Genomic DNA, 26,153 nt, shown 5'->3' on the forward strand with positions numbered 1-26,153 from the left:
TGTACGGTGTTCTTAGGCATGAACTTCTCCACACTCTTTTCAAGAAAAGCCAGTTTTAGGGAGACTTGTGGAGCTCTCTGTTCTGATGGCCTCCCTCTCCCCCGGGCAGAACCGCTGAGCCACTGGACTGGAGCTGGTGTCAGGGACAGCAGCTAGCTTCTCCTGCAGCGATGTCTTTCCTCTACAGCTAGAACACTGGGAGGGGGTGGTAGCTGCTCCTCTTCTCGGTTTGCCCTTTCTTGTGTGGAACCTCTGCCCCATGAGTGAACTCAGGCAGGATCAGTGAAGCCCAGTGTGCTTCACCTGCTAAACTTGGCATGGAACTTCCATGCTAGGAGGAGGGGCTGGATGGGAGAAGGAGCCCCGGTGCTGTAAGCCACAATTTCTAACTAATATAGCACATCCGCAACATGGAGACAGTAGGATAAAAGATGCTGGTGCACTGCCCTTTCTGAACTGAAACTGTAGCCCTAGGCTGGGAGCTGGGGAGAGGTGGAGTCCCATTTTCTTGTCCGTGACTACCCAGCATAGAGCTTCAATTACACAGAGTTGGCTGGGGATGTGGGGAATAGGGATAATTTGTGGCTTAAATGCCCTCAGACTCTCGCTGCTCTATACAGATTGAGTGGAATTTCTTGAATAAACATTTCTTTATTTGCTGTATGCCCTTAGGACAATTTCCTGAGACTTAACTAGTTGTTTTTATAAAAAAAATAATTTTCATCAGTTAAATGGTTGTTTTGCCGGGAGGAAGGCACCCATGCTCTTCACACTGACTTCTGGAAGTCCTGCTTTATAGTTTGAAATATTTTGCATTTAAGTCTATGATCCATTTCAAATTAATTTTCACATTTTGTGTGAGATAAGGGTCAAGATACATTCCCCCCCAATATAGATATCTATTAAAAGGACTAATCTTTGCCTGGTGAGTTGTAGTGGTACAATTGTGATAAATCACTGATTGTCTGTGTGTGGATCTGTATCTGAACTCTGTTTCATTCCATTGATAAAATTATTTATCTTTCGCAATACCACGCTCTAAATTATTATAGTTTTATGAAACTTCCTGATCTGTTAGGGTAAGTCGTATAACTTTGTTTAGTTTCTTCAATATTGTATTGGCTATCTTGTCATTTTCATTTTCTGGTAATTTTTAAAAAAAATATGTATAGAGTCAGGGTGTCACTGTGTTGCCCAGGCTGGTCTTGAACTCCTGGGATCAAGCAATCCTCTTGCCTCAGCCTCCCAAAGTGCTAGGATTACAGGTGTGAGCCACCGTGCCCAACCATCACTTTCTGATAAATTTTAGAATCACTTTGTTAACTTATACAAAACCTTGCTGTAATATTTATTGAGTTTGCATTGAATTTATCGATCAATTTGGGGAACACTGACATCTTTGTTATATTGAGTCTTCCAAAGCATAAACCTGGTATGTTTCCCATTTACTTAGGTGTTCTTTAGTATCTTTCAGCAGAGTTTTGCAGAGGTTTCTCACCTTTCTTTAGATTTAATTCTAGGTATTTGTTATTTTTGATATCATTGTAAATGGTAATGGAGAATTGGCTTCTATCTAGAGCCGTAAAACAAACCTCAACAAGTTCTAAAGTATTGAAGTTTAACAGAGTAAGTTGTCTGACCATAATTTGATCAAGCTAATGACTACAGAAAGATCTCCAAGCACTTGGCAGCTAAGCAACACAACTCTAAATAACTCATGGTTTAAAGATGAGTCTCAAAGATTTTTAAAACTATATTTAACTTAATGAAATGAAAATACAATATATCAAAATTTATGGAACATATATAAAGCAGTGCTAAGTGTGAAACTTATTGTGCTAAATAGTTGTATTAGAAAAAAGGAAAAATCAATAATCTAAGCTCCCACATCAAGAAGCTAGGAAAAAATAAAAGAGCAAAATAAACCCAAAGCAAGAAGGAAGGAAATAATAAAGAGGAGAGCAGGAGTCGATAAAATTGAAAACAGAAAAACAGTCTAGAAAATCAATGAAATAAAGAGTTAATTCTTTGAAAAGATCAATAATCTTTTGATAGTTTTAGCAAAACTCTCAAAAATTCAAAGAGAAGACACAAATTGTCAGTATCAGGAATGAGACAGGAGATATAGGTTTTGCAGACACTAAAAGAATAATAGTGGAAAACTAGGAATAACTCTACACAATTTGACAACTTAGATGAAATGGACCACCCATTTAAAAGCACAAATGATCACAACACACCCAATATGAAATACATCATTTTAGTAGCCTTATAACTATTAAGGAAATAGAATTCAGAATTTAAAATATCTCCTAAAAAGGAAATCTCCAAGCCCAGATGGTTGCACCTGAGAATCTAACAAATGTTTAAAAAGAAATTGACACCAATTCTGCACAATCTCATCCAGAGAATAGAATAGGAGGGAATTCAATTCATTTCATAAAATCAGAGTTATTTTGCTACTAAAATCATAAAAAGACAAACAAGAACAATGACAACAACAAAGCAATGAAACTATAGACCAATATCCTTCATGCAAAAATCCTTGACAAAATATTTGTAAATTAAATTCAGCAATATAAAAAAATACTTACACATCATGCCTATGTAGGGCTTATTCCAGAATGTAAGCCTGGCAGAATATTTCAAAAATCACTCTCAGTGTAATCCATCATATTAACATGCTAAAGAAGAAAAATGACATGATCACATCAATTGATGCTGAAAAAGCATCTGATAAAATTTAACACCCATTCGTGATTTTAAAAACTCCCAGAAAAACAGGAATAGGGGGAATTTCCTCAACTCGATAAAGTCCATCTACAAAAACCCTACAACTAATATAATAAGTAATGGTGAAAAAGTGAATGCTTTCCACCTAAGACTGAGCAAAGGAGAGGAAGTCTGCTTTCACCATTCTTATTCAGTGTATTGCTGGACATTCTAACCAGGGCAATAAGTCAAGGAAAAAAAGAATTACAATTTATACAGATTGGAAAGGAAGCAATAAAACTGTTCCTATATTTGTAGGCCACACAACTGTCTATGTAAACAGTCCCAAGGAATCTAAAAATGTACTCCTATAACTAATAAGTGAGTTTAGCAAGGTTTCAGAATGCAAGATCAACATAGAAAAAATCAATCGTGTTTCTTTATACCAATAATGAACATGTGGACATTGAAATTAATAACAAAATAGCACCTGCAATTGTTCAAAAATGAAAAAGTTAGGTGTAAATCTAACAAAACATGTACAGGACTTATATGCTGAAAATTACAAAATGCTCCTGAAAGAAATAAATGGAGAGACATGCCATTTTCATGGATTGTAAAACTCAACTAGTAAAGATGTTAGTTCCCCCCAAATTGATTGCAATTTATATTTTATTTTATTTTGAGACAGAGTGTCACTCTGTCACCTAGACAGGAGTGCAGTGGCGCGATCTTGGCTCACTGCAAACCTCCGCCTCCCGGGTTCAAGTGATTCTCCTGCCTCAGGCCCCCTAGTAGCTGGGATTACAGGTGCGCACTACCATGCCTGGCTAATTTTTTTGTATTTTTAGTAGAGATGGGGTTTCACCCTGTTAGCCAGGACGGTCTTGATCTCCTGACCTCGTGATCCACCCACCTTGGCCTCCCAAAGTGCTAGGATTACAGGTGTGAGCCACCACGCCCGGCCTGATTGCAATTTCTATCAAAATCCCAGCAAGATTTTATTTTTGGGGGGGCGGGTGGGTATAGACAAGATTCTATATTTATATGGAAAGGCAGAGGAACTAGAATAGCTAAAACAGTTTTGACACTTGTACCTTTTCTTGTTAATTTCATGTACAACTTTTCTTGAATAACCAAGCTGGCAGGTGAGGCTCATCAAGAATATCCAGATTCTTGATCTTCTTAGGCTTTGTAAAGGAGGCCAATACCCTTCAACGTGCATGGGAGGCTAAGAATGGAGCTTGGGAGAGAAGAGCCCTCCCTAAGGTTACTGATGCGGTCAGGATGATTAGGAGTAAGGGCTCCCCCACAAGTTGTGGCAGCAGGTGGGGGATGGAGTGTCAGATCAGTTGTCATCACTGAGGGCTGGCTTCCTTACTGCCCGGGTCCTGCCAGATCTGCTGCCTTCCTCATAGGCATTGGTTTACCTTGTGATTTTGTTTATCTGGGCTGCACTCTCAGGTGCTGTATCACATATCATCTGCCACTTACTATTATTACTATTATTACAATCTGCACTCTAGAACCACATGCCCTTTGGATCCTCACAACAACTCCATGAAAAAATCGCAGCTGTCACTCTTCTCTGGTTCTCTTTTGGAGTTTATGGTGCCTGTGCACTTCTGCTAGATCACGTGAAAACTGTGGATATGACTCCAAATAGTTCTCCAGGGAGTAAACAAAGTGGTTTGGGGCATCATCTTTTGAAACTTCTAAGGATACAGTGCCTGGGAAATATAGAATTAGAAGGTGTTTAGTAGAAGGGGGATTAAAATAGATGGGAAGAGCCACCTTCTCTAGTTTCATGTTCATTGGTAATGGCCGGTGGTACTGGAGGCCATGAGCTTCCTCAAGCCACAACATGGAGTAGGACTTGGCTGCATTCACTCTCTGATATGGAGTAGCCCAGGAGAGGAAAAAGGTTATAGTATAAGGGGAACATTTTTCATTTGCAAGTACAGAAGACAAAAACGAACACCCTTCCTCTTATTTTGCTCACATAATCTCATTGTCACCTGCCTGTACATGCTTTCAAAAGCTGCCTGTACATGTTTTCACCTGCCTGTACATGCTTTCAACCATGGAATATTTGAACTTGGATCACTATGTTAGTCAGGTGATTGCATCCATAAAAAAACCTTCATATTCCATCATTTTTTTCCATTTCCTTTATCTCTCAACCTTCACCCACAGTCATGGTGTCAGAAACTGCAAAACAAATGAGGAGAGCCCCAAATTTTAGACCTACTGTCCGTCTCTACAGAAAATAGAAAATTACCTGGGCATGGTGGCACATGTCTGTAGTCTCACCTACTCAGGAAGCTGAAGTGAGAGGATCGTTTGAGCCCTGGAGTTCAAGGCTGCAGTGAGTCAAGATGGCACCACTGCACTCCAGTCTGGGTGACAGAGTAAGACCCTGTCTCAAAAAACAAAAAGCAAACAAACAAAAAAAGACCTACTCAAGCCCAATCCTATCTCCAAGACAATCCTGCACCCCAGTTCTCCACTTGCCAATCTTACTCAGCTTCCTTCCTCCTTCCTTATCACCTTAATCTTAACCATGGTTAATCTTTAACAGCTGCTCCCTCCTTTTTCCAACTGGTAAACTTCAGCATATTCTTAGAATCATAAACGAAGATATTCCAAGAGTTTTCCCTGCATTCTCTTTCCTAGAAGGGTCCATGCTTCTCTGGCCCTGCTGTCTGGACTCTTAACTGTGTCAGTTAGATCCTATGCAAAGATAGTTCCAAACCCAAGCCTTTAGAGCTAATCTGGAACTAAGCCTTCCCCACCCTGGCCTGCCCTCCCTGAGATCAACCTAGTGGCCACACTTCCAGCCCCATCCTTAACCTCCTTTCTTTCTCTCCCAGCTCCTGCTTATGTGTCAGTCTGTCTCCTCCTCTTGTGTCCAAGGGAAGTCATCGGTGAGTACAAGGATGGGCAAGAGTGAAGAGGAAGGAGGCTGACTTTGGAAAGTGGGCATGGGGGTTCACAGAGGGCTCCTGATTGGGGGATGTAGTGCCTGGTTATCCTTGAGCTCACACCAACAATGTCTGTCCATCTGTCCAGCTCCCGCTGGCTCAGAACCATGGCTGTGCCAGCCGGCACCCAGGTGTGGAGACAAGATCTACAACCCCTTGGAGCAGTGCTGTTACAATGACGCCATCGTGTCCCTGAGCGAGACCCGCCAATGTGGTCCCCCCTGCACCTTCTGGCCCTGCTTTGAGCTCTGCTGTCTTGATTCCTTTGGCCTCACAAACGATTTTGTTGTGAAGCTGAAGGTTCAGGGTGTGAATTCCCAGTGCCACTCATCTCCCATCTCCAGTAAATGTGAAAGGTAGGGACCCCGTCCCTGGCCAGGGGGTCGGGGGAAGGGAGGTGGAAATGAGGAGGGGAGTCTAGATGTCTTCATCACTCCTTTTGAAGAGCCCTGGCCCTGTAGTCTAATCTCTAGCAGTTTCTCAAATATTTTCAGTTATCTCCTTGTCTGTTATTCGTAATTTCTTGGTTTCTTTTTCTCTGTAGCAGAAGACGTTTTCCCTGAGAAGACATAGAAAGAAAATCAACTTTCACTAAGGCATCTCAGAAACATAGGCTAAGGTAATATGTGTACCAGTAGAGAAGCCTGAGGAATTTACAAAATGATGCAGCTCCAAGCCATTGTATGGCCCATGTGGGAGACTGATGGGACATGGAGAATGACAGTAGATTATCAGGAAATAAATAAAGTGGTTTTTCCAATGTACACACCTGTACCCAATGTCGTCTCCTTTCTTTTTTTTTTTTTTTTTTGGATTGAAATAGGCAAGGAAGACTATTCAAGACTATTGCAATGGAGGAAAGAGATTGAACTCAGTTCTGCTGAAACAAAAGGCTGGAGAGTTTTTAAGTACACTATTATTGTGTGGGAGTCTAAGTCTCTTTGAAGGTCTTTAAGAGTTTCCTCTATTAATCTATGTGCTTCTCTGTTGGTTGCAAATATATTTAGGATAATTAGGTCTTCTTGTTGAATTGAACCCTTTACCATTATGTGATGCCCTTCTTTTTTTATCTTCATTGGTTTAATGTCTTTGTCTGAAATTAGGATTGCAACTCCTGCTTTTTTCTGTTTTCCATTTGCTTAGTAGATTTTCCTCCATTCCTTTATTTTGAGCCTATGAGTGCCATTAAGTGTGAGATGGGCTTCTTGAAGACAGCATACCATTGGGTCTTGCTTTTTTATCCAGCTTACTAGTCTGTGTCTTTTAAGTGAGGCCTTTAGCCTGTTTACATTAAAGGTTAGTATTGATATATGTGGATTTGATCCTGTCATTGTGCTGTTAGCTGGTTATTATGTTGGCTTGTTTGTGTGGTTGCTTTATAGTGACACTGGTCTGTGTGTTTAAGTGTGTTTTTGTATTAGCTGGTTGTGGTCTTTCCTTCTATATTTAGTGCTCCTTGCAAAATCTCTTGTAAGGCAGAGCTGGTCGTAATGAATTCCCTCAACATTTGCTTATCTGAAAAGGATCTTAGGAAGCATAGTTTGGCTGGATATAAAATTCTTGGTTGAAGACTTTTTCTTTGAGAATGTTGAATATAGATCCCCAATCTCTTCTGGCTTGTGCTGAGAAGTCTGCTGTTAGCCTGATGGGGTTCTCTTTGTAGGTGACCTGCCTTTTCGCTCTAGGTGCCTTTAACATTCTTTCTTTCATTTCAACCTTGGAAAATCTGATGATTATGTGTCTTGGGGATGATCTCCTTGTGTAGAATCTTGCAAGAGTTCTCTGTATTTCCTGAATTTGTGTGTTGGCTTCTCTAGCAAGGTTGAGAAAGTTTTCATGGACAATATCCTGAAGTATGTTTTCCAAGTTGTTTGCTTTCTCCCTCTCCCTTTCAGGGATGCCAGTGATTCATAAATTTAGCCTGTTTACATAATCCCATACTTCTTGGAGGTTTGGTCATTTCTTTTTATTTTTTATTTTTCTTTATTTTTGTCTGACTCTCTTATTTCAAAGAACCAGTCTTCAAGTTCTGAGATTCTTTCCTCAGCTTGGTTTATTCTACTGTTAATACTTGTGATTGCATTGTGAAATTCTTGTGTTGTGTTATTCAGCTCTGCCAGACCTGTTAGGTTCTTTTTTATACCAGCTATTTTGTCCTTTGGTTCTTGTATCACTTTATTGTGACTCTTGTTTTCCTTGGATTGGGTTTTGCCATCCTCCTGAATTTCAGTGATCTTTGTTTCTATCTGTATTCTGAATTCTACTTCTGTCATTTCAGCTAGTTCAGCATGGTTCATAACTCTTGTTGCAGAACTAGTGTGGTCGTTTGGAGGACATATGACCCTCTGGCCATTTGAGTTACTGGAGTTCTTGCATTGCTTCTTTCTCATCTCTGTGTGTGAGTGTTTCTTTAACCACAGTGTAGATTAAGTACAGTCAATAGACTTCTTTTCTGGATGTTTTCCCTGGGCTGAGGCTTTGTGTGGGGTCTTTATTTGAAACTGACTTCTTGTCTCTGGTTTCAGAGGCCGGATATGTTAGTAAGGTATTATTTATGTTGACGCTTTGGGGTGTGATCCAGCAGGTGGCACTTAGGCTTATTGGTCAGTTGTATGGCTCCCCTATGTTTCCTCACAGTTGCAGCTGTGTTTTCTCACAATGCTCTGAAAGTGTGGGTTCCTCTCCCTCTTGAGTGCTGGCTGTGATTATGACTTGGGACTCCTGGGCTGCCCACTGCAGCTCTGGGGTGATCTCAGTGTTTATGTTCCTTCCTCAAGTTGGAAGCAGCAGAGGAAGGGATCTTATTAGTGGTTGTGGCCAAGGGTTGTTTGCTTGTCTCCTGGGGGCTCCATTCCAGAGAGATGAAGGTCAGCAGCCACTCAGTGCAGTCAGCTCAAGGTGGAGCATCTGTGCCGTGGGTCCATGCCAGGGGTTCCCTGCCTGGTGATGAGCAGTGGGAGAGGGAGTATGGGACCCATGGGAAACAGACTGATCTCCTCTCCTTGGGTTGACTGCAGCTTGTTGGAGGTGTGAATAAAGCGCTTAGGGCCTTTGCTCCTTTGTTAGTCTGAGGGTGGCAAGGACAGTTCCACTGCAGAGGCAGTGGCAGAGGGGCTTTCAGATGGCGCTGGAGGCTCTGTTCATGGAGTTGCTGAGTTGCTACTGGCTTCATAGCTCTGGCAGGGGGTGGCTGGAGGCCTAGGCTTGGAGAATCTGCCTGATGAGGAGACATGGGAATGGGCACCAATGTAACAGTCTGTCCTCTTTTCTGTAGGGCTGCTGTGGTATTCTGGGGGCCTGCTCCAGTCCTTAGTTGCCTCAGATAGTCCAGTACCTGGAGGTATCACCAGTGAAGACTGTGAAACAGCAAAAATAGCAGCAGTCCCTCCCTGAAGCTTCATCCCAGGATGGTACAGGCTTGTTGCCAATGCAAAGGCACCTGTAGGAGGTGGCTGAAGACCCCATTTGGGAGGTCCTGCCCAGTGAGGAGGAATGGGATCAGGGACCTGCTTAAAGAAACAGTCTGGCCATGTTTTGGTAGAGCAGCTGTGCTGTGCTGGGGGTCCATGTCAGCCCCTGGTTCCTCAGATACTCTGAGGCCTGAAGGCTGGAACAGCTAAGTCATCTAAATGGCAAAGATAGTGGCCCGTCTCTCCCTCTGGGAGCTCTGTCCCAGGGTGGTTACAAATCTCTGTAGGATGGAGAACACAAACAGGGGTGACTGTAGGTCCTGGTTGGGACATTCCACCCAGTGAGGAGGAACGGGATCAGGGACCCATTTAAAGAAGAAGTCTGACCACCTTTTGGTGGAGCAGCTGTGCTGTGCTGGGGGACCTCTTCTGCCCCCAGTCAGCTCAGACTCTCCAATACCCAAAGGCTGAAACAGCTAAGTCACCCAAACAGCAAAGATGGCAGCCCACCCCTCCCTCTGGGGGTTCCATCCCAGGGAGAATTCAAACCTCTGTCAGCTGGAGAACATCAGCAGGGGTGGCTGGAGGCCCCAGTTGATCACCTGCTTCCTGATGAGGATAGGAGAAGCACTTGGTACATACCATTTTATCAATTTAGCCAGTGTCTTCTGCAGCATCCCCATTTCCTCAGAGGGTCAAGACCAATTTACAGTCACCTGGTAAAGGAGAACAATAGACCTTTACGTCTTGCGTGAGGGATATTTACATAACCTTATAGTGGCTGCTGACCTGAGTAGATGGAGTGCGCTGGAGAAGGCACGTGTTTTCCATTACATTGATGATATCACTAACTTCTGAGTCTTTTTTCAGCTTACAAACTGCAGGCCCCACCTTGCTGTCTCACTTCGTGAACAGAGGATGGGTGGTCAATGTAGACAAAGTTCAGGGTCCAGGCTTATCAAATACTTGAGTGTCGTCTGGTCAGGTAAGACTAAAGTTGTTCCATCTGTCATTATAGATATGGTGTAGGCCTAACTGTGTCCTACCACACCAAAGCAGTTGCAGACCTTCTTAGGCCTTCTAGGGTATTGGTGTCTTTTTATTCCCCATGTGGCCCAACTTGTTAGGCCCTTGTACTGCTTAGTCAAGAAAGGGGCCCACTGGGACTGGTCCACAAAGGAGGATGATGCCTTTGGACAAGCTAAACTCACAGTGAAGTGAATACAAACCTTGGGTGTTCTAGGGCAGGGACGGCCTTGTAAATTTGACGTAGCCAGTTACTCCAAGAGGTTAGGGCGCAGCCTGTGGCAAAGGTGAGGACACAGATATGTGCCTGTAGTATTCCGGTCCCAACTATGGAAGGGTGCTGAAGTTATCTGTAGAATCATGGATCAACAATGCTACACTACATATCATGCCTTACAGCAAAGGGAGGATGTTACAAAGGGGGTCCCATTCTAGTCTGCAGCCAGCACCCCATAGCAGGTTGGCTGAAGGACACCTTCCAGAAACCAAAGTCTGGGAATGCCCAGACACAGAGTGTGGCCAAATAGCATGCATGCTTGCACAGAGGAGCACATTAACTAGCACAGGGAGCACATTAACTAGCACAGGGCTCCATTTGGTGCGTGGCCCTGTCACCTACATGACAGCTGAAGGAGGGCCTTTGACACAGACACTGAGCCTCCGCAAATTACCTCCTCATGCAAGAGGGACAGGGCCCGATTTCTGACCAGGCCTGGTACAGAGGTGGCTTGTCACGAGGCAATGCCTGCACTTGGATAGCCATGGTCATCCAGCCATCCACTGATAGTATCTGGCTTGATACAGGCAAAGGACATAATAGCCAATGGGCTGAGCTGTGAGCCGCCTGGGTTGTCTCTTCTGTGAGCCGGACCCAATAGTCCTGTGCATCAATAGCTGGTCCATCTTTAAGGGACTTACCATGTGGCTACTACAGTGGGAAACACTGGATTGGATGGTAGCTGGCCGCCCCCTTTGGGGAGGCTGACATGTGGAAGGACATTCTCCATTGTATCTCGGACATGCATATAATGGCCTAGCATGTGGATGCCTGCACAGCACCTGCACCACCTGGAAATCAGCAGGTGGACTAGCTATCCCACATTCATCTACTGGAGGAAGTTCTGTTTCTAACTTCCAAAAAGGTGTTAGAAACAGAAGATGTGGCCCACTGGCTAACAAAGAGGACATTAAGAACAAGATACCTATCGGGGGACCTGCCCCGATAATCACATAGGTTCTTTTCTATTTTCCTAAGCGTCAGCTGGCTTGAGAAATAAAGGGACAGAGTACGAAAGAGAGAAATTTTAAAGCTGGGCGTCTGGGCGAGACATCACACATTGGTAGGATCCTTGATGCCCCACAAGCCACAAAAACCAGCAAGTTTTTATTAGGGATTTTCAAAAGGGAAGGGAGTGTATGAATAGGTGTGGGTGACAGACATCAAGTATTTAACAGGGTAATAGAATATCACAAGGCAAGTGGAGGCAGGGCGAGATCACAGGGCCACAGGACTGAGGCGAAATTAAAATTGCTAATGAAGTTTTAGGCACCACTGTCATTGATAACATCTTATCAGGAGACAGGGTTTTGAGATCAACCGGTCTGACCAAAATTTATTAGGCGGGAATTTCCTCTTCCTAATAAGCCTGGGAGCGCTATGGGAGACTGGAGTTTATTTCATCTCTGCAATCTCGACCATAAGAGACAGGTACGCCCCGGAGGGGTGGCCAGTTCAGAGACGTACCCCTAGGTGCGCATTCTCTTTCTCAGGGACGTTCCATGCTGAGAAAAAGAATTCAGCGATATTTCTCCCATTTGCTTTTGAAAGAAGAGAAATATGGCTCTGTTCTGCCTGGCTCACCGGCGGTCAGAGTTTAAGGTTATCTCTCTTATTCGCTGAATAATTGCTGTTATCCTGTTCTTTTTTCAGGGTGCCCACATTTCATATTGCTCAAACACACATGCTTTACAATTTTTGTAGTTAACACAATTATTACAGGGTCCTGGAATGATATACATCCTCCTCAACTGACAGGATTAAGAGATTAAAGTAAAGACAGGCATAGGAAATCACAAGGGTATTGATTGGGGAAGTGGTAAGTGTCCATGAAATCTTTACAATTTATGTTTAGAGATTGCAGTGAAGATAGGCATTAGAAATTACAGAAGTATTAATTTGGGGAACTAATAAATGTCCCTAAAATCTTCACAATCCACGTTCTTCTGTCATGGCTTCAGCCGTTCCCTCCGTTTGGGGTCCCTGACTTCCCGCAACAGGTACCCTTTGGGCCACAGTGAAGAACTGGTGCCCACCACTATGACATAAAGACATAGTACACATCTGTCAATAATGTCCTGCGTGTGTGCAGGAGAGCCGCAGCCCCTTGCTGCATGATACTGGGCAGATCAGCCAGGGTCGGAGCCTGGCTCCGTGGTGGCAGGTAGACTATATAGGACCTTTGCCCGTATCTGATGGCTGCTGCTATGCCTTGACTTGTGCAGACCCCTACAATGGGGCTAATGCAGGCATATCCCAGCAAGCGTGCCACCCAGAAAACCACCATAAAAAGACTAGAGCAGCTGTGTGCAACATATGGCATCCCCTTCCGATATGGACGGGGACCAGGGCTCACACTTTACTGGACAAAAATACATTATCTATTATGGACTGAATGTTTATGTCTTCCCCAAAATTTGTATGTTGAAGCCCTGAAACCCACTGTAGCTGTAATTGAATGTGGAGCCTCTAAGGAAGTGCTTGAGGTCATAAGGGTAGGGCCCTGATCTGATAGGATTGGTGTCCTTATAAGAAGAGCCACCAGAGAGCTTGTACTCTCCCTGCACACACAAAAGAAGAGGCCATGTCAGCACACAGTGAGAGGGCGGCTGTCTGCAGGCCAGAAAGAGAGCCCTCAACAGAAACGGCATTGACCAGCACCTTGATCTTAGACTTCCAACCTCCAGAGTGTGAGAAAATTAACTTCTGTTGTTTAAGCCACCCAGTCTGTGGTATTTTGTTATGGCAGCCTAAGTGTCCTACTATGATATCTTAATATGTATTATCTAGAAGGAGGAAAGGCTAAAACAAAGTCAAAGCCGTGAATACCGAGGACTACGGGCACATACCACCATGCCAGCTAATTTTTGTATTTTTTTAGAGACTAGGTCTCGCTGTGTTGCCCATCTTGGTCTCAAACTCCTGGCCTCAAATGATTCTCTTGCCTGGGCCTCCCAAAGCACTGAGATTACAGGCATGAGCTGCCAATACCCAGACAAGGATTACATGATTGTTTTGAAAAACATTATCGTTGGTTAAAAAGATTAATAACAAGGGTGGCATCAGTTTTGAGTTTGGACAGGCAGTTGCTGGGCAAATGTCTGGTCTTATTTAAAGCATTTCACTCTTATGTTTTTGAGAAAAGAACTTTTATCTAAGGAATGAAAATATTTTCAATTTTCAGGCCCAGAGAGGCATTAAAATGAGACATCCAATCATGTCATACTCCTCCCTTTGAGCTATATCTTCATCTCTGGAAACTGCTTGCTATTGCCACAAGTAGCTATAAATTAACCTAATAATGCCACACCTGACACTATAACCCACACCCTATAACTTAATAATATGTAGCCAGTCACTAACCAGTGCCATTTCTGTAAACCCATGAAAACTGACAAACAACTTTGTATCAACCCCACTGCTTGTCCCCCTTTTTTTGCCTTTAAACATCCACTTGTAACTGCTGCTAAGCAGAGTGTGCATTCAGTGCAACTTGCATCCATGATCCCAGGTTGCAGTTCTCAAGCTTGGCCCAAATAAAGTTCTACTTATATAATTTTGCTTCAGCTTCTTCCTTTAAGGTTGGCATATCCTACATGCTGTAATTTTTTTCCCTGTTTTTTTCTGTACTTATTTTTTCCTGAATAGATCAGTAGATTGAGTGTGTGTGTGTGTGTATGTGTGTGTGTGTGTGTGTGTGTATGTGTATGTGTACCTTTTTTCTCCACTAAGATTATTTGGAAACTATGTGTTTGTTTGCCCACTGGTTGCTATATCCAACATAGTGGGACCCTAGCTCCACAAATTTTTCTTTTTTAATTAGCCAGGTCTGGTGGCATGTACCTGTAGTCCTAGCTTCTCAGAAGGCTGAGGCTGAAAGATCACTTGAGCCAGGAGGTCAAGGCTGCAGTGAGCTATGATTGCACCAGTGCACTCCAGTCTGGGCAACAGAGCATGACTCTATCTCTAAAAAATAAAATAAATTAAAAATGTTTTCAGAAATCTTTAAGACCTTAAAAATAGAATTGCCCAATCCAATATAAATTGAATTTCAGTGGACTAAATTAGGTGAATCAACCTGAAGACAGTAGAAATATCAAGATTGTTTCAATTGAATGCAGTGATAGAGAAAGAACAATGACCATAAAAATACAAAGTAAAATAAAGGCCATACACTCTAAAGCAAAAATAATGCCACTCAAAAGAAGAAAGTGGAGAGAGAGAGTGAATAGATGTTTTCAAGGTGGATAAATAAATAAATCTGTATTGGTGATAGTGTTGGAGACCTAATGAGAACAAAACTAGGAGTAATTGTATGAGAATATGGGTGAGCAAAGAATAATGCCTTTATTTAAATAAAGTACTTTGGGAGGCCAAGGTGGGCGGATCACCTGAGGTCAGGAGTTCAAAACCACCCTGGCCAACAAGGAGAAACCCTGTCTCTACTAAAAATACAAAAATCAACCAGGTGTGGTGGTGGGTGCCTGTAATCCCAGCTACTCAGAAGGCTGAGGCAGGAGAATTGCTTGAACCCGGGAGTCAGAGGTTACAGTGAGCTGAGATCATGCCATTGCACTGCAGTCTAGGCAACAGAGTGAGACTCTGTCTCAAAAAAAAAAAAAAAAAAAAATGGAGATAACACCCTAGAATTGCCAGAATTTAATCTTTTCAAGTATTTGTATGATTTGCTTTCAAATAAATGGTACCTAGTGAGATCTTTGCTAATGTCCTGCAAGAAACATTCCAAATTGATCTCAGATTTTCTGCCCAAGTAGTAGAAATTGAATGACTAGCTCAGTTTCTGAACATTCTGGGTGGCTAGAAGGGGGATGCAAGGGCTCCATGGCACCATATGGGAGATATGAAAAATAAAATAGGGATAGCTAAATGACATGTCCAGGGTAGCTTACTAAGTGGGTGCACCGAGAGAGAGTAAGAATCGGGCTCTCAAGCTTGAGACTCACTGTGTTGGTGTCACTCACTGTTGTGTATCAGTGATTGTTGTGGGAAGTCAGGGAACCCGAATGGAGGGACCTGCTGAAGCCGTAACAGAAGAACATAAATTGTGAAGATTTCATGGACATTTATCACTTCCCCAATCAATACTCTTATAATTTCCTATGCCTATCTTTAATCTCTTAATCCCATCATCTTCATAAGCTGAGGATGTATGCTGCCTCAGGACCCTGTGATGATTGCATTAACTGCACAAATTGTTCGTAAAGCATGTGTGTTTGAACAGTTTGAAATCTGGGCACCTTAAGAACAGGATAACAGTGATTTTCAGGGAACAAGGGAGATAACCTTAAAGTCTGGCTGCCTGTGGGCTGGGCAGGACAGAGCCATATTTCTCTTATTACGGAAAACAGGTAAGAGAAATATTGCTGAATTCTTTTCCCAGTAAGGAATATTAATAATTAACAGCCCTGGGAAAATAATGCCTTCCCAGGGGGGCCTCTAAAATGGCCACTCTGGGGGTGTCTGCCTTATGCAGTTGCAGATAAGGGATGAAACATGCTCTGGCCTCCTGCAGCACCCCCAGGCTTGCTAGGATTAGGAAATTCCAGCCTGGCGAATTCTAGTCAGACCAGTTCTCTGCTCTTGAACCCTGTTAAGATGTTTATCAATGACAATGTGTGCACGGCGGGACATGAAACTTCATTAGTGATTTTAGTTTCACCCTGACCTTGTGATCTCGCCCTGACCTTCTGCCCTTGTGATCTTTTGTCGCCCTTGAAGCATGTGATCTCTGTGACCCACACCCTATTCGTACACTCCTTCCCCTTTGAAAATTGCTAATAAAACCCTATTTGTACACTCCCTCCCCTTTGAAAATTGCTAATAAAAACTTGCTGGTTTTATGGCTCAGGGGGCATCATGGAACCTGCCGACCTGTGATGTCTTCCCCAGACACCAAGCTTTACCATTTCTTTCTTTTGTACTCTTTCGCTTTATTTCTCAGACTGGCCGACACTTAGGGAAAACAGAAAAGAACCTACGTTGAATTATCGGGGGCTGCTTCCCCCGATAAGTGATAGCCTGAATGAGTCACTTTCTGGGTCAAGAGCCAGGAGCTAAGTCAAGGGGAGTCAGCCAGAGGGAGGTGCTATTCAAGACGAGATTATGGGTGGGGTTCAGATTGACAGAGAGAAGAAGCTATTGGGCAAGAGTGGTGACTTGCTCACTCAGATGAGTTCGAAGATAATCTCTACTGATAAAACAATCAAACTTAGACCATACCATTCATGGAATGACATGGAGATGCACATTTCAGAGTATTGTGTCTTATTTTTCTCTATCTCCATTTTCTGTCAGGGCAAATTAACTCTGAGTACAATTTACAACTGCCTTCTCTTCCTTGGACTCAGCATAGCTCTCAGCAGTCTCCTGTCTTATAGGGACAGCCTGCTGTTTCTCATATTCCATAGGTCTAGTCTATTGTTGACTTACCCAACCTCTCAAGGAGAAAATGCGAGTACACTTACTTTATCTTTTGATAACTCCCTTCTTGAACTCCCCATCAGTATGAAGCTCACCCTGTTGAATGGCCTAGATGGAGGATATTACAAGGAACCAAAAGGACATTCAGGAAAAGTGAGAATTTTTTTTACCAAGTGATAAGTTTTATAAGAATGAAAAGTGGGTGCCGTACAGGTAAAATTGGTGCAAATAATATATTGTTACACCAAAAGGAATTTGAAGCTCTGAAGAACTTTCACCAGGAATCTGAATTGCAAAAAAAAAATTATGTGTGATGAAGATTAATGATAGAAACATCCCTAATTCAAAAGGTCTTATTTTTGCTTTGGATTAAGCATGCAAAAATCTGGAGTAGTCCTTGGCAGGAAGTGTTCTTGCTGTTGACTCCAGAGATACGGACTTTGGAAGTGGAAGCCATTAACCTGGATGTAACTGAATGGTTATATAGTCTAAGGTAGAAGAAATCGTGTAAAGCCTGATAGTAAAAAGTGGCAAATTGTCCTGATTATCAAGGGGGGAATTGGGTAGTTACTACACAATCGGCAGAAGAGAGTATAACTATACCACTCACACAAGGCATTCTGTGGGATGCCTCTTAGAACTCCCACGTCCCATTGTAAAACATGGGAAAATGATAATAATCCATTACAGGAAGGACTCCTGAGGGAATGTATACTTCATGAAGACGTGAGTAACTTCACCAGGTTAAAAAATCACAGCCAGTTGAGGTGTTTGCTGAGAGCATAGGGATTATGGAATGGATAGTGGAAGAAATTTTTTTTCAGGTGGAGTTCTGTTACGTTCCCCAGGCTGGTCTTGAACTCCGGAACTCAAATGAGCCTCCCACCTCAGCCACCTGAGTAGCTGGGATTACAGGCATGTGCCACTGTGTCTAACTTGAAAGAGGAAATTTTTAAATGCCAGCTTTAGCCTCAAGGCCAGCTGCTGAAACAAGGACTAAGTTAGATATTTATATAATCTTCCTCACTTTGATGTGTATATATATATATTTTTTTTCAGACAAGGTCTCGCTCTGTCATGTAGACTGGAGTGCAGTGGTGCGATCTTGGCTCACTGTAACCTTCACTTTCCAGGTTCATGCAATCCTACCACCTCAGCCCTCTGAGTAGCTCTACAGACATGTGCCACCATGCCCAGCTGATGTGAATATAGTTTCTGTATTAACTGAGTCCTCTGCTTTTTGTCTCAGTGCCTTCATACCCCTCTATGTAATATAGGTTTATATTGGTTGATCCTTGGTATTTATAGCATGAAAGAGCAAAAGGGGTTGTTAGTCATCTGGGAGACGGACTAGCATTTTCAAATATCTCTTCCATAGAGAAGATTAAAGGTCTTTGGGTTGTAAAATGAATAGTTGCATCACATTAGGTGGAAAATAGTATTGTTGCTGCTTTTATTTGGAAGTTGAAAATGTCTACAGATGCTTATTTTTGAATGGGGTGGACTGTGCTAGACTTTCTGTTGTCAACGTGTCCCCAACACCACTGTTCCTTCTGAAGTGGGAACCACGTTTTCCAGAATCACTTCCCCTATATGGAGCCCAGAAGGTGAATTGTATGATGTGGAAAATTCAGGAATAACAAGCACTATCGTATCCTCATGTGATTCACGTTCTGACCCATTATAAAGCAGACTACCTCTGTTGGTCCATTTCCATTGCTATAAATGAATACCTGAGGCTTGGCAATTTATAAGGAAAAGAGATTTAATTGGCTCACGGTTTTATAAGCTGTACAGGAAGCATGGTGCCAGCATCTGATTCTGGTGAGGGCCTTGGGAAGCTTACAATATGGCAGAAGGCAAAGGAGGAGCAGTCACGTCACATGGCAAGACAGAGAACAGGAGAGATGTCAGACTCAAGTCACCAGCTCTTGCACAAAGTAACAGGGTGAGAACTCACTTATTACTGTGAGGAGGGCACCAAGACATTTGTGAGGAATCTCCTCCCATGACCAAAACACCTCCCCAGGCCTCACCTCCAACATTGGGGATCACACTTTAACATGAGAGTTGGAGGGGACACACATCCAAACTGTATCACAGACAAGGGCAGGAAATTGTAAACTTTCATAACCAGAGCTAGATTGTGCCCCAACCACAGATGCTGTGCCAGATGTTGTGTCTTTATTGGGGCAAATCAAAACAGAGTTTGGTACTTGGTATGCAATTATTGATCTGGCAGTTGTGTTCTTACCAAAACCCTGCAGCCTCAAGTGTGTCTGGGCAAAGATGGAGCTGGGGTAAAGTCCTTTGGACTGGGTATGAGCCCATGGACGAGAACATGCATATGGAGTCAAGTCCTGGGAAGGCCACCTAGAGGAGGGAGCAGAAACAGGACAGATGAGCAGGTAGCACCCCTGCCTGCCTGGGCTGAGAAAGGACTTAGCACTGGCGAATACAGACCCACCTTTTCCTCACCCAGAAAAGCACAAGTGAGCTATCACAGGACCTGGAGTCGAGGTAGGACCGACCACAGAATTTTCAGGGCTCAGTGCAAAGTGAACATGCAGCGCTGCTTGTTCAATATGTGTTTTGGATTTCAACACAGTGACAGCAGAGCATAAAACCAACACCGGGCCCTTGTAAGTGCAGGGGACCCGCCCTTGTGGCTGGCTCTGGAGATCCACATCCTGAGATCTGACACGAGATTACAATTATGTAAGAACTCTTCCTCCCTGTTTTTCCAGAACAAAAACTACATAGAGGGAGGAGGAATAAAATATCAGGTGGGAAAGAAAGAAGTGGCTGGTAACACCCTCAGCATAGCTGAAAGTTTCCCAATCATGGAAAAACTGGATGTTGGTGGGAAAACATTGAGGACTCGTCCTCAATTTTCCCTAGTGACAAGTAAAGGCACCTCCATATAATAAATGTATGAGGAGTGGGTAGGGCAATAGGAAAGACGTTTCCCCAGTGCTCCTCACACTTGATATCCTCTGACATTTATGCTTCTAACCCTGGGGTTGGGAGCTGTCAAAAATGCAGCCCAGTCTCTCAGACCCTCTTTGGAACTGGCAGGTGACTCCAACCAAATTCCCAGATTAACTCTCTAAATTCCCATCCTCTTCTGGAATGTGGCTCGGTAATTGCTCATTACTTTGTTAGGTCATTGATGCTTTTAAGATGTTTTTGTATTTTGTTCAGCTTCTTTTATTGTCTTTAGCAAAAGGATTGATCCAAATTACCAGGTCTGATATTACTACAAACCAAGACCAATTATCTGAATTTTAAAATCTTTAAAGCTTGCTTGTCAAGAATCTGGGTGTTCAAATATTGTGATATTTGAAGTCTGAGAAGTACAAGAATGATAGAAGAGTTTTTAAAAATTAGTAAATTATTAATAACTTGGTCTATATATTCCTCCCAGAGAAGTAATATATTAATACATGAATCTGTCTCTGAAAACTAATAATGTCTAACACTTATCGAGCACATAATATATCCAAAATATTACCCTAATTTTCTTATATGTATTACCTTATTTTATTCTCCCAGCACATTTATCTGTTAATACTAATTCCTATTTCAAACTTACAGATAATAAAATTGAATAATTCACAGTGAGGTTAAGCAGCTGACTCAGGACTACAAAGATAGTAAGAATCAGAATCAGCATTTGAACCCAAAGTATCTAACTGTAGAGCCCAGGTTCTTAAACATCACTCTACAATGCCTCCATGCAGGGCAGGGAATAGAGTTGAATGAGAGAGGTATACATCTCTGGTGCAAAATTTAAGAGGGTGTCAAAAAATGAGTAAGGTAATACTTTGTGCCAAAAAATGAATAAGATAAGTAATACTTTGTGCAATTTTTTTTTTTAGACAGTCTCGCTGTGTCACCCAGACTGGAGTGCAATGGCATGATCTCTACTCAGCTGCAACCTCTGCCTCCCAGGTTCAAGTGATTCTCCTGCCTCAGCCTCCCGAGCAGCTGGGATTACAGGCGCCCGCCACCACACCTGGCTAATTTTTTTGTATTTTTAGTAGAGACGGGGTTTCACCATTTTGGCCAGGCTGGTCTCGAACTCCTGACCTCAAGTGATCCTCCTGCCTCAGCCTCCCAAAGTGCTGGGATTACAAGCATGAGCCACCGTGCCTGGCACTATTTTTTTTTTTTTTTTTGAAACGGAGTCTCGCTCTGTCACCCAGGCTGGAGTTCAGTGGCACAATCTCGGCTCACTGCAACCTCCACCTCCCTGGTTCAAGCGATTGTCCTGCCTTAGCCTCCTGAGTAGCTGGGATTACAGGTGCATGCCACTACGCCCGACTAATTTTTTTTTTTTTTTTTTTTTTTTGAGTGGAGACGGGGTTTCACCACGTTGGTCAGGCTGGTCTTGAACTCCTGACCTCGTGATCTGCCCGCCTCGGCCTCCTAAAGTCCTGGGATTACAGGCGTGAGCCACCGTTCCCAGCCCAGCACTATTTTTAAAAATCAAAATTAATGCCAAAAAAAAAAAAAGAAAAGAAAACTGGAGAAGGATCCAATTGGATGACTAGATGCAGGTAGTATGTGCCTCTTCCACAGAGAGGAACAAAAACAGGAAGTAGATATTCACATTTTGAATATATTGTTTAGGAGAGAATTCTAGCATTGACCAGGCAAGAGACAGGAAACAGCAGAAGTAAGTAACAAGAGGGTTTGAGGCCACTCGCCCACTTGGGGACACACTGAGAGCTGGAGATGCTCTAGGATGCAGGAAAACAGTGAGAGAGAAACCCGCAGGGATCCAAAATGAGCTTTTATAATCTTGACTCTGGGAGAAACCCTCAACCACTAAGGCCACAGGCCTGACATACAGAGCTGCCTAAAGATTGCACAGGGCCATTGCTGCAGAAAGGGAGCCCTCACAGAAGCCCACAGGCATCTGAACCTGGAATAACCTCAACTGGGAGCCATTTGAGAGCCCAGATGCCAGGGATCTACACATGTGGGTGCTGCTCCTAGGGGGAAGTGGGGATCCTAGGGGCTGTCATTCACCCCTGGGAGGGTCCCTGCCACCCTGCAGCAGGCTGCTGTTGAGACTGCGATGTGACCGGACCACACTCCCCCCAGCCTGTTGCCCATGCTGCTTGCCTGAGATGCGCCCCATCCTCTCTGGTCCAAGGCTGAAAGCACCATTTTCAGTTTATCACTGGGCTGCACCCCACATTCAGGCCAAGTTGGAGGCAATGTGACTGAATCTATTGCCCAGTTGGGAGAAGAAAAGGGGAGTCCAAGCTCTTCTAAGCACACGCATTACCCTACCCACTGCCCTTATCACTTTATGTGGTTCCAGATATCTTGAAGGTTTTGCTCATTCTTCAATCTTTTTTAGCCCTTAATTTTGTTTGACTGGATTGTTTCAAAAGATCTGTCCTCTACTAAAAAAAAAAAATAGCTGGGCATGGTGGTGCAAACCTGTAGTTACAGCTACTCGGGAGGCTGGGGTGGCAGGATTGCTTGAGGTGGAGTTCGAGACCAGCCTGGCCAACATGGTGAAACCCTGTCTCTACTGAAAATACAAAAATTAGCGGTGTGGTGGTGGGCACCTATAATCCCAGCTAATGGGGAGGCTGAGGTGGGAGGATCACTTGAGCCTGGGAGGCAGAGGTTGTAGTGAGCTGAGATCGTACCACTACCCTCCAGCTTGGATGATAGAGTGAGACTCCGTCTCAAAACAATATACAGATAGTTTACTTAATCCTTTATCAAATGTGTACTGAACTAGGAATCAGGCAATGTAATATATATATACATATATATATACGCATTATATATAAAATACTCCACATAAGAATAAAAAAAGATGTAATTATGCACATCAGGCCATCAAAGAATGAGAAAGAATGAGAAAACTCTTGGGGACATGGTCCAAGGTAGTCAAGAGCCCCAACATTTTAGGGTCCAGGGACCCTTCCAAATCCCTTTGGAGAGTCCTCCTACCCCTCACTCCCTGCTGTCCTGTGATTCCACCCCCACCTGGACACAGGAGGGTGAGGATGGAGGCTGCAGCTGGGGGAGATGAGGGGCACTGCAGATGGGCTGGGAGATGCAGTGGGGCAGTGAGAGACCAGGAGGAGCTCTAAACCAAAAATAAAATCTTCAGCTCCCCAGCCAACTGGACAGAGCCTCTCTTGGCCAAGGTGACCCAAGAGAAATCTGAAAAACTAAATTCCAGGCCATGATGGGAAGGGAGGTCAGACACCCCTTGTGTTCAATCCCTTCCCTCTTGGAGTTTAGGCACAACTGGCCATCATTAACATTAAAATAGAGAGCGTGGCCGGGTGCGGTGGTTCACGCCTGTAATCCCAGCACTTTGAGAGGCCGAGGCGGGTGGATCATGAGGTCAGGAGTTCGAGACCAGCCTGACCAACATGATGAAACCCTGTCTCTACTAAAAATAAAAAAATTAGTCGGGCATGGTGGCGCATGCCTGTAATCCCAGCTACTCAGGAGGCTGAGGCAGGAGAATCACTTGAACCCAGGAGGCGGAGGTTGCAGTGAGCCAAGATCGTGCCACTGCACTCCAGCCTGGGCAACAGAGCAAGACTCTGCCTCAAAAAGAAAAAAAAAATAGAGATCGTAAGGCTAACACAACAGACTCTGTGACAATAAGATACCAAATTTCAACCTGACTGTCTTATAACATCACACTACAGATAGCCAGCCCTGAAGGAAATCAAAATATTTTGCCCCAAAATATAATTCTTTGACATATTTTAAAATGGCCCTACAAAGCCATTTTTTTATGGGAGAAATTTACAACTGTACAGAATCTCCTTCCCATTCTAGGTCTTTCCCAGATCTAGGAGAGATTAAATGAGAGTCTGACACCTTTTAGGTCTAAAAAGAAACATTTATCATCTATTCTCTCTGAAGCCTGCTACCTTGAGATTTCATCTACATAAAAAGAACCTTGGTTTCCACAACTTCCCTTATCTGAACGCAAGCATTACTTTCTACTGACTTCAAGTCTTTAGAGATAGCTTAGCTCTTTCAACCAATCAGAAAATCTTTGAATCCACCCATAAGCCCCCACTTCAAAATGCCCTGCATTTTCAGGCTGAACCAATGTATACCTTACGTGTATTGATTTATGTCTTTGCCTGTAGCTTCTGTCTCCCTAAAATATATAAAACCAAGCTGTAACCTGACCAACTCAGGCACACTTTCTCAGAACTTCCTCGACTCTGTTCCCCAGACTGTGGTCACTCACATTGGCTCAGAATAAACCTCTTTAAATATTTTACAGAGTTTGGTTTTTTCATCAACACAGTGAGTAGAGCAGAGAGAAGAGGCAGAGAGAGAAGACCAGGGTGGGAGAGACGAGGATAGGTGAGGAGAGGAGGAGAAAGAGGCAGGGCTGCAGGGGTCCGGGCAGATCTGGTTGTGGGGTGGGGGGTCTGTGAGAGGCAGGGATGCAGGGGTCTGGGCAGAACTAGTTGTGGGGTGCAGAGTCTGTGAGAGGCAGGACTGCAGGGTGAGCTCTGAGCAGAGCTGGTCATGGGGTGGGGAGTCTGTGAGAGGCAGGGGTGCAGGAGTCTGAGCAGAGCTGGTTGTGGGGTGCGGGGTCTGTGAGAGGCAGGGCTGCAGAGGTGCAGGTGTCTGAGCAGAGCTGGTCATAGGGTGGGGGGGGTCTGTGAGAGGCAGGGGTGCAGGAGTCTGAGCAGAGCTGGTTGTGGTGTGCAGGGTCTGTGAGAGGCAGGGGTTTGCAGGAGGGGAAGGATCTGAGCAGCCTGACTTGGGCTCGGGTGGGGTCCTCCTTACTTGACGTGCAGCTGCTGGTCTCCACTCTGCTCAGTCAGGCTTCACATCGGGTCTGATGAATCCGAGCACAGCAGGAAAGAGGGTAGAATGGAAGAGCATTTATGAGGATGGGTGGATCGTTTACTGAACAGTGGCATCTCAGGACAAACATTGCTGTTGGGCTGGGCTCAGTGGCTCATGCCTATAATCCCAGCCCTTTGGGAGGCCACGAGGGGAGGTCAGGAGTTCAAGACCAGCTTGACCAACGTGATGAAACTCCATCTCTGCTGAAAACACAAAAATTAGCCGGGAGTGTTGGTGCATGCCTGTAATCCCACCTACTCGGGGGGCTGAGGCATAAGAATTGCTTGATCCCGGGAGGTGGAGGTTGCAGTGAGCTGAGATTGTGCCACTGCACTCCAGCCTGGGCGACAGAGTGAGACTCTGTCTCAAAAAAAGCAAAAACAAAAAAACATTGCTATTGGTTGGGGGTGGCAGAGATTATAGAGATTCCCCCAGGGTTTTCCCTCTTGTTGGTAACACCTCACCATCTCTCCAGAAGACAAATACACGCATCTGTGATGTATATATTCATATATGAGAAACAGGAATGCTGCAATGGAGTTTCGTATTCAGACTAGCCCTAACTCCATCTTGATTGAGAGCCAAGAAAACACCTGCTTTACTGAGGCACTGGTATTTTGATGATATTTTTCTTTTTTTTTTTTTTCTGAGACAGAGTCTCCCTCTGTTGCGCAGGCTGGAGTGCAGTGGCACGATCTCAGCTCACTGCAACCTCCACCTCCCGAGTTCAAGCAATTCTCCTGCCACAGCCTCACGAGTAGCTGGAACTACAGGCACCTGCCACTATACTCGGCTAATTTTTGTGTTTTTAGTAGAGACAGGGTTTCTCCATATTGACCAGGCTGGTCTCGAACTCCTGACCTTGTGATCCGCCTGCCTTGGCCTCCCAAAGTGCTGAGATTACAAGCGTGAGCCACCGCGCCCAGCAGTATTTTGATAATTTTAAAATAGCCTTTTATATTTACTACATTTGTATTAGTCAAGGTTCTCTAGAGGACACAACTAATAGGATATATGTATATATGAAAGGGAGTTTATTAAGGAGAATTGACTCACATGACTGTAAGGTGAAGTCCCACAATAGGCATCTGCAAGCTGAGGAGCAAGGAAGCCAGCAGTGGCTCAGTCTGAGTCCCAAAACCTGAAAAATATGACAGTGAAGCTGACGGTGCAGGCTTCAGTCTGTGGCGGAAGCCCTGAGAGCACCTGGCAAACCACTGGTGTAAGTCCAAGGGTCCAAAAGTCAAAGAACCTGAAGTCTTGATGTTCAAGAGCAGGGAAGCATCCAGCACAGAAGAAAGATGAAGGCCTGGACGACTCAGCAAGTTGACTCATTCCGTTTTCTTTGGCCTACTTTTCCTAGCTGGGCTGGCAGCCGATTGGATGGTGCCCCCCCAGATTGAGGGTGGGTCTGCTGCTCCCAGTGCACTGACT

The 26,153-nt window shown here is 44.0% G+C and overlaps 1 protein-coding gene and 1 long non-coding RNA gene across 27 annotated transcripts in view, besides 2 other annotated features; one reads left to right on the forward strand and one right to left on the reverse strand.

Annotated features, from left to right (window-relative positions):
* Positions 1–26,153, forward strand: part of IGFL2 (IGF like family member 2) — a 136,850-nt gene that overhangs the window by 76,317 nt on the left and 34,380 nt on the right. For 4 of the 25 annotated variants that reach the window (XM_047438228.1, XM_024451381.2, NM_001002915.3 and 1 more), the window contains 3 exons: positions 5,586–5,639; positions 5,785–6,052; positions 6,241–6,460. The exons of 15 other annotated variants lie outside the window; for them this stretch is intronic. In XM_047438228.1, coding sequence (XP_047294184.1) covers positions 5,586–5,639; positions 5,785–6,052; positions 6,241–6,259 — 341 coding nt within the window. In that variant the 3' untranslated portion in view covers positions 6,260–6,460. Of the gene's footprint in view, positions 1–5,585; positions 6,461–26,153 lie in introns of those variants that run through there. 6 more of the 25 variants (XR_001753605.1, XR_001753604.1, XR_007066604.1 and 3 more) reach the window with 4 other exon arrangements.
* Positions 4,261–5,460: an enhancer, noted in NCBI's record as "BRD4-independent group 4 enhancer chr19:46662347-46663546 (GRCh37/hg19 assembly coordinates)". NCBI's record gives its function as "activates an origin of replication core promoter dependent on BRD2, P300/CBP, MED14 and CDK7 cofactors, and independent of BRD4, by STARR-seq in HCT116 cells {active_cell/tissue: HCT116}" and the evidence as "EXISTENCE:reporter gene assay evidence [ECO:0000049][PMID:35650434]".
* LOC105372424 (uncharacterized) lies at positions 7,712–26,050 on the reverse strand. 2 transcript variants are annotated; one of them, NR_187895.1, is made up of 6 exons: positions 25,972–26,050; positions 25,776–25,860; positions 24,657–24,708; positions 19,105–19,223; positions 9,749–9,822; positions 7,712–9,387 (listed from the first exon to the last, which is right to left on the reverse strand). It is a non-coding gene; the product is annotated as an uncharacterized LOC105372424 (long non-coding RNA). The 2 variants fall into 2 exon arrangements; NR_187892.1 differs by lacking the exons at positions 7,712–9,387; positions 9,749–9,822 and adding an exon at positions 18,598–18,691.
* Positions 15,803–16,353: an enhancer, noted in NCBI's record as "NANOG hESC enhancer chr19:46673889-46674439 (GRCh37/hg19 assembly coordinates)". NCBI's record gives its function as "activates a minimal SCP1, AML or CMV promoter by ChIP-STARR-seq in naive H9 embryonic stem cells {active_cell/tissue: H9 hESC(naive)}" and the evidence as "EXISTENCE:reporter gene assay evidence [ECO:0000049][PMID:30033119]".

The sequence above is a fragment of the Homo sapiens genome, chromosome 19, assembly GCF_000001405.40.
Source record: "Homo sapiens chromosome 19, GRCh38.p14 Primary Assembly".
NCBI classification, from domain to species: Eukaryota; Metazoa; Chordata; class Mammalia; order Primates; family Hominidae; genus Homo; species Homo sapiens.